This window comes from Homo sapiens, chromosome 10 (genome assembly GCF_000001405.40).
Source record: "Homo sapiens chromosome 10, GRCh38.p14 Primary Assembly".
NCBI classification, from domain to species: domain Eukaryota; kingdom Metazoa; phylum Chordata; class Mammalia; order Primates; family Hominidae; genus Homo; species Homo sapiens.
In genome coordinates, this window is record NC_000010.11 from 125,403,903 (window position 1) to 125,421,046 (window position 17,144).

At 43.6% G+C, this 17,144-nt stretch overlaps 3 annotated features.

Moving 5' to 3' along the window:
* Window positions 575-1,774: an enhancer, noted in NCBI's record as "BRD4-independent group 4 enhancer chr10:127093046-127094245 (GRCh37/hg19 assembly coordinates)". NCBI's record gives its function as "activates an origin of replication core promoter dependent on BRD2, P300/CBP, MED14 and CDK7 cofactors, and independent of BRD4, by STARR-seq in HCT116 cells {active_cell/tissue: HCT116}" and the evidence as "EXISTENCE:reporter gene assay evidence [ECO:0000049][PMID:35650434]".
* Window positions 7,905-8,105: a silencer, noted in NCBI's record as "peak1126 fragment used in MPRA reporter construct". NCBI's record gives its function as "represses an SCP1 promoter by STARR-seq MPRAs in K562 erythroleukemia cells {active_cell/tissue: K562}" and the evidence as "EXISTENCE:reporter gene assay evidence [ECO:0000049][PMID:32103011]".
* Window positions 15,331-15,580: a silencer, noted in NCBI's record as "fragment chr10:127107802-127108051 (GRCh37/hg19 assembly coordinates)". NCBI's record gives its function as "represses an EF-1alpha promoter that drives an FKBP-Casp9 reporter gene in an ReSE screen in HepG2 liver carcinoma cells {active_cell/tissue: HepG2}" and the evidence as "EXISTENCE:reporter gene assay evidence [ECO:0000049][PMID:32094911]".

Here is a 17,144-nt window from a genome sequence, read left to right on the forward strand (position 1 = left end):
TTTTTTTTTTTTAGTGTAGGCACTTATAGGTAAAAACTTCCCTGTTAATATTGCTTTCACTGTATCCCACAGATTTTGGTATTTTGTGTTTTCATTATCATTTGTTTCAAGAAAATTTTAAATTTTGTTCTTAATTGCTTCATTGATCCACTGGTTATTCCAGAGCATGTTGTTTAATTTTCATGTTTCTGTGTAGTTTCAGTTCCTCTTGTTATTGACTTAAAGTTTTATTCCATTGTGGTCAGGGAAGTTACTTGATATGATTTTAATTTTTCTGAATTTTTAAAGACTTGTTTTGTGGCCTAACATATGGTCTGTCCTTCATAATAATCCATGTGCTAAAGAGAAGAATGTATATTTTGTAGCCATTGGCTGACATAGTCTGTTCATATCTATTAGGTCCATTTGGTCTATAGCACAGGTTAAGTCTGATGTTTCTTTGTTGATTTTCTGTCTGGCTGACCTGTCCAATGATGAAAGTGGGGTACTAATAATATTCACTTTATGTATCTGGGTGTGGCAGTGTCAGATGCATATGTATTTACAATTTTTATATCCTCTTGCTTAATTGAATCCTTTATCATTGTATAATGACCTTATTTGTCTCTTCTTATAGTTTTTGTCTTGAAACTTTTTTGTCTGATATATAGTTAATCCTGCTTTTTTTGGTTTCCACTGGCATGGAATATCTTTTACCATCTCCTTTTTTCCAGTCCATGTGTGTCTTTATAGGTGAAATGTGTTTCTTTATAGGTGAAATGTGTTTCTTGTAGGCAACAGATTGTTGGGTTTTGTTTGTATAAATTCATTCAGCTACTCTATGTCTTTTGATTGAAGAGTTTAGTCCATTTACATTCATTATAATTATTGATAAGGAAGGACTCAATGCTGCCATTTTGTTATTTGTATTCTGGTTGTTTTGTAGTCTTCCCTCCCTTCCTTCCTGTCTTACTTTTCTTGAAGGTGATTTTTTTTTTATCTGGTGGCATGTTTTAATTGCTTGCTTTTTATTTTTGTGCATCTGCTGCAGGCTTTTTGATTTGCAGTTACCATGAGGCTTGCATATAACATTTGAAAACCTATTATTTTATTTTATTTCATTTATTGTTATTATTATTTGAGGCAGGGTCTTGCTCTGTCACCCAGGTGACATGATGCAACATCATGGTGACATGATGCAACATCATGGTGACATGATGCAACATCATGGTGACATGATGCAACATCATGGTGACATGATGCCCTGTTGCCCAGGTGAGATGGTGAAGTGGCACCATCTTGACTCACTGCAACCTCTGCCTCCTGGGTTCAAGTGATTCTTATGCCTCAGCCTCCTGAGTAGCTGGGACTACAGGTGTGTGCCACCACAACTAGTTAATTTTTGTATTTTTAGTACAGATGGGGTTTCATTATGTTGGCCATGCTGGTCTCCAACTTCTGGCCTCAAGCAATCCACCTGCCTTAGCCTCCCAAAGTGCTGGGGTTACAGGTATGAGCCATCACTCTTGTCACGATAACCTATTATTTTAAACTGATGACAATACTGATTACAAATACAAACAAACAAACGATCAAAGAGAAAACTAATACAACTCTGGGATTTAACTTCACCTCCTTGCTTTTTAACTTTTTGTTGTTTCTGGTTATATCTTACTATATGATGTCTTCAGGAGTTGTTGAGTTATCATTTTTTATAGTTTCATCTTTTAGTTTTTCTACTCAAGATATGAGTATTTTACACACCATAATTACAATGTTATAATATTCTGTGTTTTTCTGTATACTTACTTTTACCAGTGAGTTTTGTACCTTCAGATGATTTCTTATTGCTTGTTGACATCCTTTTCTTTCAGAATGAAGAACTCCCTTTAGAATATCATATAGGACAGTTCTGATGTTGATGAAATCCCTTAGCTTTCATTTATCTGGGAAAGTCTTCTCTTTCTTTTTGAAGGATATGTTTGCTGGATATACTATTCTAGAATAAAAATTTTTGTTTCTCCTTTAGTGCTTTAAATATGTTGTGTCACTCTTTCTTGGCCAGTAAGGTTTCCACTGAGAAGTCTACTGCCAGACATATGGAGATCCTTTGTATGTTATTTGTTTCTTTTCTCTTGCTGCTTTTAGGACCCTTTCTTTATACTTGACCTTTGGGAGTTTGATTAGTAAATGCTTGATGTAGTCTTATTTAGGTTAAATCTGCTTGGTGTTCTATAACCTTCTCGTACTTGAGTATTGATATGTTTCTGTAGGTTTTGGAAGTTCTGTGTTATTATCTCTTTGGATAAATTTTCTACCCTGATCTTTTTCTCTCTCTCTGCCTCCTCTTTAAGGCCAATAACTCTTAGATTTTCCCTTATGAGGCTATTTTCTAGATCTTGCAGGTGTGCTTCATTCTTTTTTATTCTTTTTTCTTTTATCTCCTCTGACTGTGTATTTTTTAATAGCTTGTCTTCAAGCTCACTAATTCTTTCTTCTGCTTGATAAATTCAACTATTAAGAGACTTTGATATATTCTTCGGTATGTCAATTGCATTTTTCAGCTCCAGAATTTCTGCTTGATTCTTTTTAATTATTTCAATCTCTTTGTTAAACTTATCTGATGGAATGCTCAATTTCTTCTCTGCCTTATCTTGAATTTCATTGAGCTCCCTCAAAACAGCTATTTTGAATTCACTGTCTGAAAGGTCATATATCTCTGTCTCTTAGGATTGGTCTCTTATTTAGTTCGTTTGGTGTGGTCATGTTTTCCTGGATGGTCTTGATGTTTGTGGATGTTCATCAGTATCTGGGCATTGAGGAGTTAAGTGTTTATTATCGTCTTCACAGTCTGGGTTTGTTTGTACCCATCTTTCTTGGGAAGGCTTTCCCAAACCCAGTAATGGTGTGGCTCTTGCAGACTTATAGAGGTACCACTTTGGTGGTCTTGGTTAAGATCTGGGAGAATTCCCTGGATTACTGGGAAGAGACTCTTGTTCTCTTCCCTTACTTCCCCTTATTTTTCTCAGCATAGAGAGGGAAATGAAGTCTCTCTCTCTGTGCTGAGCTTCCTGGAGCTGGGGAAGGAGTGACACAAGCATCCCTGTGGCTAACACTGCTGGGAAGGCACCAGGTCAGACCTGAAACCAGCACAGCACTGGGTCTTGCCCAAGGCCTTGGGTGACTACTGCCTGGCTATTGCATATGTTCACTCGAGGCCCAAGGGCTTTACAGTCAGCAGGTAGTGAATCCTGCCAGGCTTGTGTCCTTTACTTCATTGTGGCAAGTTCCTCCTACCCTGGGCAGATCCAGAGATGCCATCCAGAAGCTATGGCCTGGAATTGAGGACCTTAGGAATCTACTTGATGCTCTATTCTACTGTGGCTGAGCTGGCACCCAAGCTGCAAGAGAGTATACTTCCCACTCTTCCCTCTTTTTTCCGTAAGCAGGAGGAATCTCTCCCTGTGGCACCGCAGCTTGGGATGTGCTGAATCACACCTGAAGTCAGCATGGCCCAATGCCTGTTCAGTACTGCCTAGCAACCACTGATGTTTATTCAAGGCCCAAGGGCTTTTTAGTTGGCAGATGATAATTCCTGCCAGGACTGAGTCCTTCCCTTCAAGGAAGCAAGTTCCCTTCTGGCCCAGGGTGTGTCTAGAAATGTCATTTGGGAGCTAGGACCTGGAATGGGGACCTCAGGACTCTGCCTGGTGCCCTATTCTACTGTGGCTAAACTGATATTCAATTTGTAAGATAAACTCCTCCTTACTCTCCCCTCTCCTTTCCTGAAATGGAAGGTAGGAGTCTCTCCCAAAGCTGTGAGCTGCACTGCCTGAGGTTGGGGAAGTGATGATGCAAGGACTCCCCTGTCCACCCCAGTTCATGTCTCACTAGGTTGTGTACACCCCAAGTCCACTGGCTCCAGCCCAGCACAGCACCAGGACTTGTCCAGAAATTGTAATCCTTGTGGCTTAGACTGCCTTTCAAATTTATTTAGAACCCCATAACACTTTAGCCCACAGTGGTGGGGCTAGCCGGAACTCAGGTTCCTGACCACTTGGAGATGTGATTCTCTTCTGGCTAGGGCTGGTCTTAATGCTCCCTCCAAGACTACAGCTGATTTCTTCTCTGTGTTGCTTTCTGCTGTTACAGGGCAGCACTAAGTTCCAATACAAAGTACCACAATCACTGTGCTTTCCCTTCACCAAGCACATAGATTCTCTCTCCATGCCATGCGGCCACTGCTGCTGCAGAGGGATGGGAGAGGGGTGGTGCTGGCAGTTCAAGACGGTCTTTTCTTCCCTCTTCAGTGCCACTTTCCTTAATGTGATGTTAAACCCAGGTACTGTGATTCCTCATCTGATTTTTCGTTCTTATGAAGGTATTTTCTTGTGTAAATAGTTGTTCAATTTGGTGTTCCTGCTAGATGGGACAATTGCTGGAAGGTTCTATTCAGCCATCTTTCTCTGCCTCTTCAAAGGAGTAATTTTATTCTTGTTTTTCATAAATGAGTAAACCAAGACTCTGAGAAGACAAATGACTTGGCCATGGCCACAGAGATGGGTGTGTCTAGGACCCAGAAGGCTGGACTCCCTGCTACCCTCCCCAGCACCCTTTCATCCACACAGAGCTATTAACTTAGTGAGCTGGAATATAATCTCATTAAAATAGAATAAGAAGTATCAGGACTCCTGGCCTTTCCAAACCTCACTTGTCTAAGGCAGTGACTTTGCCCTACAGAAGGGTTTGAAGACCTGGGAGCCAATTCTTTACTGATGGTCCCAGAGGAACCAGAGTTGACCAGAGGGGAGAAGCAGCCTTTGCCAGGGGAAGTAATCATGAAAGGAACTGATCCTGTCCACTGTGGGCAGAGGTAGTTTGCTGGACCCAGCTTTGGGGAGTGGCTTTCCTTCTCTGAGACTTTGTTCAAGGTCTAGGAATCTAAAATCCTGCCTCTGGGTGATTTGAACCCTGAGACTTGGGGCCAGATAACGTCTAACAAAAAACAGATTTTTTGAGAAATCACATCTTGCTCCTGGCCCCACCCAAAAACTGTGAGGACACCAGCCAGCTCCAGAGAGCTCTGCAGAGAAAAACCCGTAACAGGGGATGCCTGTGGCTGGTGCCCAGCAGTGTGTAGCTAATCTCTGCTTCCAGTTGTTTGATGCCAGTGTCTGCTCTACTCCAGCAATGCCTGCTCCATATTTATGTTCCTCACTTTCCTTTCCGACCTTGAAAATGCCTGGAAACGGTTTCCTCTGTGGCTGCTGTTCGGAGCCTCAGTGGTGAAGTTTATTCACAGCAAGGCAGGAGCTGGCCACTCAGGCTTTGTGCTGAAGGGCTTTCTGGCAAAGAAATCACCCCACTCACTACCTGAGACAGAAGCCACGTCCAAGACAGCCCTTTCAGGCTGGCCAGAGAATGACCAGGAACTGCCCCTGTGTGCTTTGCTTTCTTCCAGGTGTCCACACAGCAGGAAGCCACACAACCTGGGCCACTGAGCTGAGTGTGTGAGTTGGGGGGCGGGGTTGTGAGAGAAACTAAGACAATCGGGACACACTGGGGAGGCTCTGAGGTGACACCCCATTTTGTCTGTTAGGGACTTGCCCTGGCCTTACCCTTCACACAATGCTGGGCATTTTGGACACTGAGGTGGGATGACCAACAAGAAAATGAGGCAAATTCTTCTCTCAAAATCTGTCAGTGAGATACTCAGAGCATTTGGGGAAAATTAATAAAACAACTAGCACTTGAAGACAATGTAGCTATTTGCTCTTTTTGAGCTTCATGGAATTTTTACTTTATGTATTTGGGGGCAATTTCTTCAAGAAGAATCTGGAAGATAACAAATGTCCAGGCTTGAATAGGCCTGTGTTATTTGCATGAATCCACAGAAAGGCACGGTCTGGAGGACCCAGGTGGGTTCAAGAGGGGTACAGTGCAAGACCCTGCTCACTGCTGGCACGTGGCCTCAGCACATTGCACATGAAATGTGTGCCACCCTCAGGGAAGCCACACATGGTACTCTGTCTTGTTCTTCTCTCGTACAGATGTCAGCTGAGGCCATGACTCAGGACTAGTTATAGACACGGCTCAGATGTGAGACTGCACAAGGCAAAGCCAACTTTCAACTGGCTGTACTGCCTAACCTGTGCATAGAGCAAGTAAGATGGGAATATTAATGACAGGTGGTCTTCCCCTGCTCGTGGGGTTCTGTGACAACTGGAGAAGTAGCTGAGTGTAATGTGTGAAGCTAATAAGATGACTTTAGGTTGCATAGAGATGAGCCCTAGCTACTGATGGACTCACACAGTGGGGAAAGTTACTCCCTCTTCAATCCCCTTCAAATAATTCTGACTGCAGCCAGGGCCAAAGTCCCAGTTGGGCGTTAGCCTTTGACACCCATCTAATGCCATCCTCTGGCTCAGAACCTTCTGCAAAGGACAGCATCAAGCTAGCTGTTAATAACATTGTCTTGTGCCCACTGTATTTGTTTTTATAGTTTTTTTTTCTTATTTTGGTCAAGGAATACTTATTTTCCATTTACAGAGTGACACGAAACTTGAAAATCGATGTATTGTTTTATGAAGGGTAATCAATTGAAAGAAAAAGATTAATTAATTAATTGGATAGGTGGTGCACAAAATTCACGAAGGTTTGGAAAACACTGATACAAGACTGACAGTGCAGACTTGGCGCTGAACCCTTGCTCTGCCATTTCCTAATGATATAGTCTTGTACAGGCCATTTAATGATTGGTAATTACATGAGGTAAGAGATATGGGAGTTCTCCTTGATCTGTAAGATAACAGTCAATGATTCTTTATTGTTACTTAATGTTTTTGAATCATTATATTAAATAGAAAGTACCAAATCTCAGTCACACTTGAGTTTTCCTTGTTGCTATGACCACTATGCATAGACAGGGCATATGCAGAGAGCCACCAGCACCCAGATACCGAAGGATCAGACTCAGGGAGGAGTTTTGGATGGAGACTAGAGCAGAGGGGGAAAGGCTGATGGTCCTGCCCTGGGGCAGGAATTTCAGAGCCATCATCACACCAATAGCTTCCTGATGGTGTCGTAAACACAACTGGTTGTCAGCTGGGCCGGGGCACAAGCTGCTGGTCTTCCACCACCAAGGAGGGGATGAAACCATCACCACAGTCAACACAACGAACATAAACACTTCTTCGCAACCCTCACTGCCCTCCTCATCCCCAGACAGATCTGCTTTCTGTCACGATAGATGAATACACATTTCATGGAATTTTGTATAAACAGATGTACGCATTATGTACTTTTTGTCTTGCTGCTTTCACTCAAAATAGTTATTTTGAGATTCATCTATGTTGCTGTATCAGTAGATCATTCCATTGTAGTGCTGATTCCATCACACAGATATACCACAATTTGTTTATACATCCTCCTGTTGATGGATATTTGTATTTTTGTCTAGCTTTTGATTATTATAAGCAAAGCTGCTATAAACATTCGTGTACAGTCTTTTTATGACCATAGGCTTTCATTTCTTATGAATAAATACTACAAACGTAATGGCTGGGTCATATGGTAGATCTATGTTTCACTTTTTAAGGAACTGACAGGCAGGGTGCGGTGGCTCACGCCTGTAATCCTAGCACGTTGGGAGGCCAAGGTGGGTGGATCACGAGGTCAGGAGTTCAAGACCAGCCTGGCTAAGATGGTGAAACCCTGTCTTTACTAAAAGTACAAAAATTAGCTGGGTTCGGTGGCAGGCACCTGTAAACCCAGCTACTCAGGAGGCTGAGGCAGGAGAATCACTTGAACCTGAGGGGCGGAGGTTGCAGTGAGCCAAGATCGTGTCACTGCTCTCCAGTCTGGGAGACAGAGTGAGACTCCGTCTCAAAAAAAAAAAAAAGAAAAAGAAAAAAAAAACGGACAAAATGTTTTCAAAAGTAGTTGTATCATCTTACATACCAACTAACAGCATGTGAGGATTCATTCCAGTGCCTCCAAATCCTCACCAGCTTTTGGTATGGTCAGTCTGTTTCACTTTAGCCATTCTGATGATGCATAGTGACATCACATTGTGGTTTTCCTCTGTCTTTCCCTAACTGAGTAATGTTAAGCACTTTTTCTGTGCTTCTTGTCATAGTATATCTTCTTTGGTAAAGTGTCTGTTTAAATATTTTTCCCATTTTTAAATTGGGTTGTGTTTCCTCTTATTACTCAGTTGTAAAAGTTCTCTCTATATTCTAGGAACAAGTTCTTTGTCAGATAAATTTTTACAAATATTTTCTTCCAGTCTGTGACTTGCCTTTTTATTTTCAAAACAGTGTCTTTTGAAGAAGAAAAATGTTTTATTTTAATTTTATTTTACTATTATTTTATCTTATTAAATAAACGAGATGGGGGTCTTGCTACGTTGGCCAGGTTGGTCTTGAATTTCTGGCCTCAAATCATCCACCACATCGGCTTCTCAAAGTGCGAGGATTATAGGTGTGAGCCACCCCAGCTGGCCAAAAAATTTTAAATTTTAATGAAGTCAATGTACTAATTTTTTTATTTTATAGCTTGTGCTTTTTAAAATTTATTTTTGTTGTATTGAAGACATCTTTGCTATACATATGTCATCAGGATTTGCACCTATGTTTTCTGTGGGAGTTTTATAATTTTTTACCTCTTACATTTAGGCAAAAGATCCATTTCATGTTAATTCTTGTATATGCTGTGAGGTAAAGGTTGAGGTTTTTTTTTTTTTTGCATATGGAAATTCATTTATTCCAACACCTTTTACTGAAAAGACTGTCTCTTTCCCACTAAGTTGGCTTGGCACTCTGGGTGAAAACAAAATTGACCATCTATGTGTGGGTTGATTTCTGGACTCTATTCTGTTCATTGATCTCTGTGTCTGTCTTCATGGCAATATCACACTGTCTTGATTACTGTGGCTTTTTAATAAGTCTTGTAATCAGACAGTGTAGACCCTCCAACTCTGTTCTTCTTTTTCAAAGTTGCTTTGGGTATTCTAGGTCCCTTGCATTTTCATATAAATTTTGGAGCCGGCTTTCCGGTTCCAGCTTGCCTTCCTGCATGATGAGGGGTCGAGGCATTTCCTGGTTTAGTTGGGCATCTCAGGAAGGTGGTGAGTACAGCCCCTCTACTGTGTAAAACAACAGGCAGGGGAAGATGACTTGTGTCTGTTTCTCTCTCTCTTTCCCTATACCCTTTCCCCCTCACTTGTATAATTACTCCAGGAATACTTCTGGCAATTAAAATTCTTGTTATATAATCATAGTCTATGTCAAGCATGTCTTCATGGTTGAATCTCTTTCTCTCATCTAGACGCCAGCAATCAGGATTTGCAGTACAGATGAAGACTGTGGAACACTTATTTTAATGGGCTAGAAGACTTCCTGGCATGTTTTGAGTAAATTGTGCTACTGTCATGCAGAACTGGATTAATGTCTGTCTTATAAATAAGACCCACCTGGTATCACTCTGTTTGCAAAGTGTAGCAGCCAGTGTCACCGGTTATATCTCCGTCTGCTGTGTTAGGAAGCATTCTTGTCCTGTTTTATTTTTCCCTCAGAAGTATAGAAAAAGGACCTCATGCCAGGTGTGGTGGCTCATGCCTGTAATCCCAACACTTTGGGAGGCCGAGGCGGGTGGATCACGAGGTCAGGAGATCAAGACCATCCTGGCTAACACGGTGAAACCCCATCTCTACTAAAAATACAAAAAAATTAGCTGGGCGTGGTGGCGGGCACCTGTAGTTCCAGCTACTTGGGAGGCTGAGGCAGGAGAATGGCGTGAACCCAGGAGGCGGAGCTTGCAGTGAGCCACTGCACTCCATCCAGCCTGGGTGACAGAGAGAGAATCCGTCTCAAAAAAAAAAAAAAGAAAAGAAAAAGGACCTCATATGATGGGTCCAAGAAAGCTTTGCCTCATAGCCTGGAGCTGATGAACATAGAATCCAACCCCACCAGCCATTCCAGGACACAGAACGGGACAAGGGTGAGAGGTGTGAGGTGTGTAAAGGATAATAATAGCCAGTAAATGGCCCTAAGAGTGAGTGTCACATTAATCTTTTTTTTTTTTTGAGACAGAGTCTTGCTCTGTCACCCAGGCTGGAGTGCAGTGGTGCCACCTCAGCTCACTGCAACCTCCGCATCCCAGGTTCAAGCAATTCTACCGCCTCAGCCTCCTGAGTAGCTGGGATTACAGGTACCCACCACCACGCCCAGCTAATTTTTGTATTTTTAGTAGAGACGGGGTTTTGCCATGTTGGCCAGGCTGGTCTCCAACTTCTGAGCTCAAGTGATCCACCCAACTCGGTCTCCTACAGTACTGGGATTACAGGCATGAGCCACCACGCCCAGCCTACATTAAATTTTGTATCCTAGGTGCCTTATGCTCTTCACCCTAGCATAAGGTGGCCAGGTATAGTTGGCAGCAGGATGTTTAAAAAACTGCATTGCATCTCAGTCCTTAAGCACTCTCATTTTCAACCTAGGGTCAGGCATTCCCTACATTCTTAAGCATTGACTTAAAAAATTATCTTGGCCTTCCTATGCTACTCTCATCCCCAAAGAAAACTAAAGAATAATAATAATTTTTAAAAACCTTCATTTCCTGAATTGAGGTCACGTAGTGGGTTTTAATAATTTATTTTTTCGTAAATGAAACTGTTCTTTTGTGGGGTACCTACTCTGTGCCAGGCACTGGACCATGATGGGGGAACGTGGCCTTACAAAGAGAGGGATAAGCTCATAACTCATTAAAGTCAAAAGGAAGCTGGAAGATGCTCTGTGAGACAATCCCACCACATCAAGGGCAGGGGGCACTTTATAGGGGCCAGGCAGGCACCGAGTGTGTATCCTCACAACAAGTGGTGTTTGTATATTGTGTCTGCATTGCTTATGTCTACTGCCCCCATTTCACAGGTAAGAAAGCCAAGAATTAGGGAGAGGTTCAGTAACTTGGCCGAGGTCATACAGCTAACAAGTTTAAGAGTCAAGATCTGAACCAAGGCAGTCTCGTTGCGTAGTCCAAATATTAGCAGAGAAAATCTCTTCTTTAAGTCAAATGGACTCATGTTAAACATTAAGTGGAAATATTTCAGAGCCTTCAGGATAGGCTTTTTTTTTTTGTCTAGAACGTTCAATATTTAAGTTTAAGAGTGTTGAGAAGGCACAGCTCAGCATGCACTTCCTATCGAAAGTGTGTGCCTTGGCGATTATGAAGCCTCTGCCCGCACACAGGCGTGGTGAGGACGGCTGCACGGCCCTTCTGCCCTCACAGCATTCAGGAAGCTAAATAAGACTTCACTGGCTACAATAACACCCGTCAGTTATCTGTGCTGTAGTGTAAACAACGAAATTCTTATTATGTACTCAGAATCCACAAAGCCATTACCATGGCAACTCTGTTTTCATGTCATATCTTTAATGAATAGGTAATGAAAGAAATTCTACATTTACAACTTCATTACCAGTTTTTTTTTTTAAAGAAGACCACACACACACACACACACACACGCACACACACGCACGCACACACCCCTATCTGTAATTTTGCATTATGGGCGTTGTCATGTTTTAGCACGTGGTGACCTTCACAGAGGAATTTTCAAGGCTGTCATTTTGGATCGAATGAATGGAAAGAAGACAAAAAAAAATTTCCAAACCCGACCCACCATGCCAAAGACTCTGCTAGTTTCACTTTTTGTCTCTTTATGATTTTAATAATTTTGGCTCAAAATAACTCTCCATCCTTAGAAACAAGCAAGCATGTTCGGAAGTGGAGAAGGGAGATTTAAAACCCACTGCTGGTCTCCTTCAGGCTTTCCTGGGCTGACCTGCCTTTTTTTCTTTTCTTTTAAGTTAAAAATGGTTGTCTTCCTTAAGACTTCCTTATCGCAAGAAGGTTGATGAGCTAGGGATCTGATTTGCTGTTTAAGGATTGCTCTAATGTAACATAAAAGATCGTCTAATCATGGCATCTAATTGCTGAGAGGAATAAATTCTTGCAACATCAGTGCAAGTGTCTTAAAAAGAACTTTTACAAGAATTATTAACAAAGTACTATGTAGCCTCCATCCTGACAGTATGATCAAAATGCGTGCACAGGTCTAAAAGGACAGCAGGAGAGCCATAGGGCTACAGGGAAGAAGGAAGAGGCTTTGATGCTCTCCCAACACACCCCCATACACACGTGTGCACACACACATCTTTGTACACACATGCACACACACAAGTGTATGGACATGTACACACACATGCACACACATGTACATATGCACACATGCATGTACACACACCTTTTTGCACACATGCACATATGCACACATATGCATGTACACACATGTACATACAGCACATGTGCACACCATCACCAACTTCTGGAACATTCCCCTGTAGACTGTGTGTTGCTGCTGCCCACTCCCCTCTTCACCCCATGCTGTTGATGGAACATTTGGGTGGGGTAAAAACAATCAGCTGCCCTTTGATCTGCACAGGTGGAAAAAGTAAAACCTTACCCCCCTTCTGCCAATCAGTCCTGTCTCCCCATTTCTGCCCTGGTCAAGTTCCTGATTGCTTGGGAAATGCTGCACGTTTTCCTGCATAGTTATTTGTCATCATGCCACTGAGCAGTGAAATCCAGTAGCTTGTTGTGCAGCAGATCCTCAGTCACGAGATCCCATCATTTGGGATTTGGGATTTGTGATATTCTCAACAGTGACCAGGTGGAAGCTCACCGTGGTCCATTCCTGGAGAGAGTGTGCTAAGAAAATTCAGAGGAAAAGGAAGATAGCAGAGAAGACATGTAAATTACTTTCAAGTGCCCTTGGAAGAAAAGTCTTGTTTGTCTATAAAACATGTCTATTCATTAAAGTCCTTTCTTTAAGAGCTTTGGACAGGAGATTTTTTTTCAATGTAACTCTAAGTGCTTGAAAATAATAAAGCTGCATTTCTCTAATAATCCTGCATAGATGAGAGGCTGTATGCTACAGTGGAGGAAAATATTGCCGGGGCTTCCTTACTAACTTGCTGTGTGGTCTTGGGAAATTCACTTCTCTGAACATGGTTTCATTTTCTATACCAGGAGTCCCAGACCACCGGGCCGTGGACCAGTACTGGTCCGCGGCCTGTTAGGAACTGAGCTGCACAGCAGGAGGTGAGCAGTGGGTGAGCGAGCATTACCGCCTGAGCTCCATCTCCCGTCAGCTCATCAGGCATTAGATTCTCATAAGAGTGTGAACCCTACCACGAACTGCACATGGGAGGGATCTAGGTTGCAAGCTCCTTATGAGAATCTAACTCCTGATGATCTGAGGTGGAACAGATTCACCTGAAAACCAAAACCATCATATCCCGGCACCCCTTGCTGTGGAAAAATTGAATTCCATGAAACTGGTCCCTGTTGCCAAAAAGACTGGGGGCTGCAGTTCTATGCATGGAAATGGGTAGGACGAGATGACCTCTGAGCTCCTTCCAGCTTTACTGTTTCATGAATGCACAGCTTTTCACTGAAACACAGCCTACGGCCCCACCTCATCAGGCAGAAGCACAGAGTGGCCTGAGAGGGAAGCACCTGGGCTCACGTGAATGCTGCCACTGGAAGTGTCCTCAAGACTTCTGACTTGACTTCAGCCCTGTTTGTCATCTCTGTCCATGGCATCCTTGGTGTACTCAAGGTTCATCTCTCCAGAGGGTGGTCTCTGGTCAGGTCCCAGCTTCAGCTTCCTGGAGGATGCTGGCCTATGTCTTTGAGGTGCGCTTGATATGAACTTGTGTGAGCTCCATTGCCAGTATTCTACATCAGCCTACCTCTAACACACCCTCCGACTCTGGAGCTCAGCCAGCCTGCTATTTTTGTGTGACATGGTAACAAACACAGAAATGCAGCTGAGCACCGACTGTGCAGGGTGGGACTGGCACAGGGCCATGGCACTGGGTTCGGAGTCAGAGCTTCTGGATTTGGGGTCTGGCTGTGTGATCCTGGGCACATTGCTCCCAGCTTTAGTCTGCAAGTGAGAACATGAATGTCCCATCCCCCAAAAATCTCATGGGGGCCAGGGTCACGTCTGAGAACTACCCAAGATAATACGAAGGAATTGATTTATAAACTATAGCATGCTATAAAAAAGTGGAAGCTTATGCTTCCAGGAAAACCAGAGGAGACATGATGACCTCCCTGGAAGGCTACCCAGCCTCTAGAAGCCACTTCCAAGCCAACAGACCCTTCAGCACGTACAATAGTCACATTAGGCAGTGGTTCTGTTCTGCCATGCGTCTCTGCACTGTTTTTCCTACAGAGTAGCCTTTGCTGCCTCTGACGGCAGATGCCACTCTTCCTGTCCCTTCTTGCTGCCCACAGCACCAGGTGGGACAAAGGACTCTCTATCACTGTATATACACCAGCATCATTTAATAACGAACAATTACAGACAAAGTGGACAAAGTGGTTTTTCCCTAAAGAACAAAAAGTCCTTTTGACTAGTATATTTATTTCACGAGCTCACTCCTAAGGACACAATCTGAATGGATAAAAAGTGTTGTATGTAGAGATGTTCACTGCTAGGTTATCTTTCAGAGGAAAAAGTCTTAATTAAGTTAAATGTCCACAATAGGAAAAGGGTTAAATAGATTTTAGCGTCTCAACTACATAGACCATCTTAGTCTGTTTGGACAGCTATAACAAAATACCATATATTGGATGGCTGACAAACAACAGAAATTTATTTCTTGTAATTCTGGAGGCTGGAAGTCTGAGGTCAGGATGTCAACACGGCCAGGTACTGGTGAGGGTCTTCTTCTGGGTTGCAGAATGCTGGCTTCTTGCTGTGTCCTTACATGGTAGAATGGGGGCAAGAGAGCTCTCAGGAGTCCCATTTATAAGGGCACTAATCTCAATCATAAGGGCTTCACCCTCATGACCTGATCACCTCCCAAAGTCCCCATCGCCTAATTCCATCACTTTGGGGGTTAGGAGTTCAACATAAGAATTTTAGGGGATACCCACATCCAGACCTTAGCATAGACTACAATCCAGCCCTTGGAAAAGATATTTGAAAGAGTGGAAGTGGTTCAGCATCACATTTAGCAAGAAAAAAAAGAACAGAGTATAAAATCGTATATGCACCATTCATTCATTTATTCAACAAATATTTCTTGAGCACCTACCACATACCAGGCATTCTCACAGGCCCAGGAGATGGAGTTGTGCCCATGGCAGATGCCCTCCAAGCTCGGATGGGATGCAGCCATCAGTGGGAGAGTGGGAATTGGGGTAGACCGGCTATAAGCAAGCAAATGAGTCAGCAGAAGAAATGACTGGTGGTGCAAAAGCTCTGCAGAGGCGATGGTGGAGAGCAGCCCCTGCCATGGAGACAGCTTCCGTGGAGTGACCTTTACGCCAAGGTCGGATTTGCCAGATGGGAACACCTGTGGGAATGCCAGTGGGAGGAGCACTCCAGGCAGAGGGAGGAGCACTCCAGGCAGAGGGAGGAGCTGGAGCAGATGTCCTGGGGTGGGGACAAAGGGGACTCACTCCAGGAGGAGACAGGGGGCGGTGTGGCTCCTGTCCAGGGGTCAGCGGGACAGGATTGAGGGGGGCGGGAAGGAGAGCAGGGACCAGATTCTGAGGTCTGATAGAAGGGGAGGTACAGAGGGGGCTGAGACTTAGATGAAAATGAAGGAGGATGCAGCAGTGAGCTGGGTGCTGGGCAGCCAGGAGATGAGGGAGGTACGAGGACAGGAGTACTGGCCTTCTCAACATGGGGACGAGGGACTGGTATCTCCTGACGGCAAATCAGGAGCCTGGCTGGAGCAGGCTAGGAAACAGAGGCAGTGGCTGGAGTCAGTTCCATCAAAGAGTCCTATGGGTGACGGGAGCGGAGAAAAGGGGTGATACCTAAAGAGGGCCGTGGGCTCTAGGGAGGCCTTCGTCCCCCAAGTGAAGATCTAGGGTGGCCTTTTTCTGCTGTTGGGAGTGAAGGGGGAGACGTGGGTGATTCAAGAGGCAGGGGGAGGAACAATTTCCTGAGAAAGCAAGAGAGGACAGAATCCAGAGAGCAGTGGGGTGATGATGCTCCCCTGGGAGAAAGGTGCTCCCTCCGCAGGCCACACAAGGACACAGAGGGCGTGGGGTGGGAGCCGCTGGGCTGGGGACATTGGTCATGGGAGACGAGAGTGTTTCTCAGATCACTTCTGTTCTCCCACTGAGGTATGGGTACAGGTGAGACGGGAGAGCTCACGCGGGCCTGCATGTGGGTGTGGGGACAGGGGCAGGAAGGTGATTTCAGTAGGGAGGAGAGGTCATGGGCAGGGAAGTGCTGGGTACCCACTAAGACTCATGGCTGGGAGTTTAAAGTTGCCCTCCCCCAGCATGAATGTGAATTTCTAGATAACTAGAATGTGATAACTACGTAACCAGGACACAGGATGACCGCATACTGTATACCTACCGTGTGTATACATAAAACCAAACTTTAAGAAATGGAGGGGAGATATACCAAAATACTCATGGAGGGGGGTTTTGAAGTGGCAGGACCATAGGTGATATATTTTTCTGTCCTTTCAATATTATATGTCTTCCAAATGTCCTATATTGAGCTTTTATCATAGTGGAAAAATTAACTATAACTTTTTTAAAGAAAAAATATGGAAGCAAAGGCGAGGGTAGACACAACTCCCTATATATCAGATATTTTTATCTGCCAGGGTTTCTCAGTGATACTCCAGCAACGTATTCAAATCAGCTGGAAAGTATTTCCAATTAGCTTTTTAAAAGATCAACTTTTAATTTTGGATACTTTGCAAGGAAAAGAAAAGTTGCAAACATGGTGCAGAGAGTTTCCGTACACTGCTCACCCAGTTTCCCCTATTGTCAACATCTCACAGAAACGCGTTCCGTTAGTCAGAATTAAGAAATTATCCTTAGTCCATTACTATGAACCAAGTCACAGACTTTAATTGGATTTTGCCAGTTTTCCTACTAATAATCTTTTTTTCTTCCAGGATCCAATCTGATATACCACATTGCATTCAGCCAATTAGCTCTAAGAGATTCCTTGGCCCATGTGCAAGAATTGTTTGTTTTTTAATCTATCTCAGAGGGTTTCTGTGAGAAGTAACTGAAATAATCCACAGGGAGAAGCTTTGTAAACCATAAAATGC